This window comes from Homo sapiens, chromosome 12 (assembly GCF_000001405.40).
Source record: "Homo sapiens chromosome 12, GRCh38.p14 Primary Assembly".
NCBI lineage: Eukaryota > Metazoa > Chordata > Mammalia > Primates > Hominidae > Homo > Homo sapiens.
The window spans coordinates 94,937,792-94,943,791 of record NC_000012.12 but is presented as its reverse complement, the minus strand read 5'-3'; the positions used below and the strand labels follow the sequence as shown (position 1 = coordinate 94,943,791).

The 6,000-nt window shown below is 46.4% G+C and overlaps 1 annotated feature.

Annotated features, from left to right (window-relative positions):
- Positions 2,188–2,237: a silencer, noted in NCBI's record as "silent region_4735". NCBI's record gives its function as "represses an Ori minimal core promoter by ATAC-STARR-seq in GM12878 lymphoblastoid cells {active_cell/tissue: GM12878}" and the evidence as "EXISTENCE:reporter gene assay evidence [ECO:0000049][PMID:35858748]".

The window sequence follows — 6,000 nt, the reverse complement described above, 5'->3', positions numbered from 1 at the left end:
CTTGTCACATTGTTTATTTCCATCAGAGCACTTATCAGAATATGGAAGTGCTTATTTATTTATTTGTTTATATTTTGTTTCTTTCTCTTGTCTGTAAGCATCACTCACTCGTCCCACTGCACAGTTCTGGAGACTATTTACAAAGCTTGTTACAGGACATGATACTCCAGGGAGATTTCTAAATACCCACCATCCAGTAGGTACCTCCAGTGCTCCCAGTAATGAGGTACTTCTTTAAATTCTTCTTCTTATTATTATTCTTTTTTTTTTGAGATGGAGTCTCGCTCTGTCACCAGGCTGGAGTGCAGTGGCACAATCTCTGCTCACTGCAACCTTTGCCTCCCAGGTTCAAGCGATTCTATTGCCTCAGCCTCCTAAGTAGCTGGGACTACAGGCGTGCGCCACCACACCCAACTAATTTTTGTATTTTTAGTAGAGCCAAGGTTTCACCATATTGGCCAGGATGGTCTCTATCTCTTGACCTCGTGATCTGCCTGCCTTGGCCTCCCAAAGTGCTGGGATTACAGGCATGAGCCACCACGCCTGGCCTACTTCTTTAAATTCTGTCACTTGACCAGCCTGGCCAACATGGTGAAATCCCGTCTCTACTAAAAATACAAAAATTAGCTGGCCTTAGTGGCAGGCACCCATAATCCCAGCTACTTGGGAGGCTGAGGCAGGAGAATTGCTTGAACCTGGGGGGTGGAGGTTGCAGTGAGCCGAGATCGCACCTCTTCACTCCAGCCTGGGTGACAGAGCAAAACTCAAAAAAAAAAAAAAAATCCTATCACTTCATCTTCCCATACGGAGCTTCTATTGCCATGATACCAGCAAGGAACTGTCTCAGAGAGGGTTAGATGACTTGCACAAGGCCACATAGCCACTAAGAAGTGATGGGGGCAGGATGTGGGCCCACATCTGCCTGGTTCTGAAGGCCTCTCTCTTTCTACCATGTTGCACAACTCAAGACGAGGTGGAAGAAACACCAAAAAAACCCACAATTTACAGTGCTGCCTCTTTTCTTCTTTGACTTGACCAACTTTAAACATCAACTCTCTAACACTTGTGGACAAACATTCACTAGCTACCATCCTTTCATTTGGGAAACCACTCTCTCCTGTGCCATCGGAATCCTGCTCTGCCATAAGGTGCCGGGGGCACCAACACCACCCCTCCCTCTTCCCACCTTGAGAGTGTGCATGCGACCTGGGCTGGCCGGATTATTTCTTCTGCAGTTCTCCACAATGGGTCCAGGAACGGGCAAGTGATCTGAATCGGGCCAGTCAGCCTCCTCCTTGAAACTTTGGTGGTACTCTGGGGACAGTCATTGCTCTGGGGTCATCATTCATTAGCACCGCAGTAGTCAGGAGCTGCAAGTGGCCACCTTAGTCATGTAGAATCTTATGGAAAATGAAGCCAAATAGAAGACAGCTATAAGGGATGGATGAAGAGAGAGACTAAAACAGACGCCAAATAGCATAATTTCAGCAGTGGAACCCAGTGACCCAGCCATTTATTTATTGGGTTGTTTGCTTAACATCTATCTCCTCACTAAGCTAGCTCCACAAGGGTAAGAATGATGTCTTCTGTGTTCACCACTGTCCCCACAGTGCCTCAGGCAGTGGCTGTCATGAAGTAGGTGCTCCCTACAGATATGGATGAGAGTATGGTTTCTACCAGCAGTGTCTGAGCTCACAGCATAATGATAATATTCCAGAGAAATCATCTCGGTCTCCAGCTTTTGGAATGAGCTGGCTGGGTACATGGGGCTTGATTAAAATTGGAGGAGACATAGTTAATCTTAGAGTCAACCTTATGACATAAGCCAAGTCCTTTTACAAAAACTAGGTTTCAATGGGTATGCATTGAAACTGGGCGGGGATAATGTGTTCTGGCTCTGTTCTTTAAAAGTGTGTATGATGTCTGAGGCCCTGTCATTTAATTTGATTCTAATATGTCTTTAAACATCCTGTCAGATTATAACCTGATTTATCACTCACTCAAGAGGCTAAAAATAGGAGGTGATACAAGAGGTTAACATCACTTAGCAGTGAGTGTTTTCTCAAAGGGACAGACATAGATCAGAGGAAGCACGTCATTCATTCCTATCCACAGGCTGGGCACGCCTGGTGCTTGGCAATTGTTTCAGAATGAAATGACTCTTGAGCTGAACGTGTCATCATTTGGGAGGGGCAGTCTGAGAGGGTTGCAGAAGATGCGATGACTGAAAATCTTCCTCCAGCCAGCCCCTGCTCAGCAGTCCCCAGGAGCCCGCAATGGTCCCCGATTGCTGGCTGCTCTTGGCTGGTTTCCAGGACAGCCGTTTACACAGTGGAATGAACCATGGGAATGGAAGAAAATTTGAAATTTCTTTTTTTTTTTTTTTTGGGAAAAACAGCTGATCTTGCATTGTGTTCCAGCTTCCCTCTTGGTAAAATAGAAATTGTTTACATTTCCCCCTTGGAGGCTGCTAAGCCCTTAGAGAGCCTCAGAGGAGGGGCAGTGTGAAAATAAAGGCTACAAATTCTTACAGTGCTGGCTAAAAAGAAGGCACTGACCTCTGACATCTCAAATTCAGGGAGCAGAATAAATGAAACAGCAACATGCTCACTCCAGGGTAGGCAGAGCACAGGACTGGAATTAGGGATGGAAGAAGGACATGAACATCTATGGAACATGTAACTGTGTGCTGGACACGGCATTAAGTATTACCTGCTGTTGTAGGCAGTGGGCTGCCCTAACAGGGTATCACAGGCTGGGTGGCTTATAAACAGCAGAAATTTATTTCTCAAAGTTCTGGAGACTGGAAGTCCAAGATCAGGGTGCCAGCATGGTTGGCTTCTGATGCAGGCTTTCTTCTTTTTTTGTGTGTGTTTTTTGAGATGGAGTTTCACTCTGTCGCACAGGCTGGCGTACAGTGCCGCAATCTCGGCTCGCTGCAACCTCTGCCTCCCAGGTTCAAGCGATTCTCCTGCCTCAGACTCCCACGTAGCTGGGACTATAGGCATGCGCCACCAGCTAATTTTGTATCTTTAGTAGAGACGGGTTTCAGCATGTTGGCCAGGCCGGTCTCGAACTCCTGACCTCAACTGATCCACTTGCCTTGGCCTCCCGAAGTTTTGGGATTACAGGCATGAGCCACCATCCCTGGCCTGATGGCAGGCTCTCTTATGAGTTGCAGACTGCCAACTTCTTGTATCCTTAGACGGCAGAATGGGGGCTAGAGCTTTCTGGGGCCTCTTTTATAAGGCACCAACCCCATTCATGAGGGCTCTGCTCTCATGACTTAATCACCTCCCAAAGGGCCCTACCTCCTAATACCATCACATTGGGGTTTAAATTTCAACATATGAATTCTGGGTGGGGTGGGGTGGGTGTCACAAATATCCAATCCATAGCACCTACTTACCTAATAGGAATTACCATGGTATATGGTGTTACCTTAAGTTGATATTAACCCATTCTATGAATGAATAAGCTGATTCTCAGGGAATTTAAGTAATTCCTAAGCCAGTAAGTGGAAGAAGCAGGATTCATCCTGAAGACTGGCTCCAAAGTCCCAATGTCTTTCCTCTCATTGTCATATCATTGCTACCTATACACATCAATAAGGCCTAAAAATGAGAATGAGCTTGCCTGAGTGTAACTGTGGCTCCAGGGCCCCTGCTTTAGCTAGGGAAGGGCATTTGATGAGAGGCTCTCGCTACTCTCTGGAGGTTAGATGGCTCCATTTCATGGACACTAACGTTTGGAAAGAAGCCAGACCTTCTCTTTTGTGCCCTCTGAGCTTCCTTTGGATATTTCAGAGCCTCCCCTCCTGCGGCCTCCAGCCCTCTTGGGCTTCACTCTGGCTATCCACTTAGGCTCTATCCCTTGCTTCTTCCTAAATACTATCTCTGTCTCCTACAAAACTTATTCACCTGGGGCCAGGCACGGAGGCTCACGCCTGTAATCCCAGCACTTTGGGAGGACGAGGCGGGCGAATCACCTGAGGCTGGGAGTTTGAGACCAGCCTGGCCAACGCGGTGAAACCTTATCTCTACTAAAAATACAAAAATTAGCCCGGCCTGGTGGCGGGTGCCTGTAATCGCAGCTACTCAAGAGGCTGCGGCCGGAGAATTGCTTGAACTCGGGAGGCGGAGGTTGCAGTGAGCAGAGATCACGCCACTGCACTCCAGCCTGGGTGACAGAGTGAGACTCCGTCTCAAAAACAAAAAACAAAAAACAAAAACTTATTCACCTGGATCTTCTTTCTTCGGGCCTTGGAAAGTCATTAACTTGCTTATCTGCTTAGCAAGCTAATTCATGCCAAAGTATTAATGATAAAAATGTGTAACACTTTTCTTGGAGCTATGGGCAGTGTTCAGTAAGTAGTCCCAGGCACTTGTTGTTTGGACAACATTGTGTCGCGTGCAGTAGGCCCTGGCATGAGCCTTCAGTCCTTTCTTATCAGAGGATTGGTGGATACCACAGGTAGTTGAAAGACATGTTTCTGTCCCCATCCTATGGAAATGTTTGCAGCAGGATTCTGTCTTGTGAATCTTCTGTTTTCCATGGTGTCTGAGGTTCACCACTCTTTCTGCAGTGGAGTGCCCACTTCCTTGCGCCCAGGACTTTATCATAATGACCAGCATGAGCTGGGCTCTGCCTACCGTGGCTCAGAGTTTAACTCTATGAAGAATCAGTATCATCTGTATTGCCAGAGACTCACTGCCATCATTCAGCCCCCTTGGGCTCTGCAGACACCAGCACCCTTATCCTGAGGACAGCTGTTCTCTCAGATCCATGTGCCCCTAGCAGGCCTGCTGCTTGGTGGCTCTCTCTGACCTGAGTGATGTGCTGGTGGAAACAGTTTTATATTTCCTATTTCAAAAAAAATGTTGGTAGAATATACATAACAATATTTATCATTTTAACTTTTTTTTTGAGACAGAGTGTCACTCTGTCACCCAGGCTGGAGTGCAGTGGTGTGACCTCAGCTCACTGCAACCTCTGCTTCCTGGCCTCAAGTGATCCTCCCAATTCAGCTTTCTGAGTAGCTGGGACTACAGGCGTGCACAACTGGCTAATTTTTGTATTTTTTTTGCAGAGACAGGGTTTCGCCATGTTGCCTGGGCTGGTCTCGAACTCCTGGGCTCAAGTGATCCACCGATCTCTGCCTCCCAAAGTGCTGAGATTACAGGTGTGAACCATTGCACCTGGCCCATTTTAACCAATTTTTTTTTTTTAAGACAGAGTCTCGCTCTGTCACCCAGGCTGGAGTGCAGTGGCGTGATCTTGGCTCACTGCAACCTCTGCCTCCTGGGTTCAAGTGATTCTCCTGCCTCAGCCTCCCAAGTAGCTGGGATTATAGGTGCCTGCCACCACACCCAGTTCATTTTTGTATTTTTAGTAGAGACAGGGTTTCACCATATTTGTCAGGCTGGTCTCGAGCTCTTGACCACAGGTGATCCACCCGCCTCGGCCTCCCAAAGTGCTAGGACTACAGGCATGAGCCACCGTGCCTGGCCCATTTTAACCATTTTTAAGTGTACAATTCAGTAGCCTTAAGTATACTTACAGTGTTATAATGTTGTGCAGCCATCACCACTGTTCATTTCCAGGATTTCTCATCATCCCAAACTGAAACACTGTGCCCATGACATTACTCCTCATCCCCGCTGCTCCTAACCTCTGGTAACCGCTACTCTATGCTCTGTCTCTGTGAATTTGCTTATTCTAAGAACTTCATGTAAGTGGAATCATATAATATTTGTCCTGTGTCTGGCTTATTTCACTTAGCACAATGTTTTCAAGGTTAATCCATGTGGTAGCATGTATCAGAATTTCCTTTCTATAATAATATTCTATCATATGATATAACAGATTTTGTTTATTCATTCATTGGTAGACAGTTGCATTGTTTCTATCTTTTGGCTATTGCAAATAATGCCACTATGAATTTCTGTGTACAAGTATTTGCTTAAGTCTCAGCTTTCAATTTATGGGGTATATACCTAG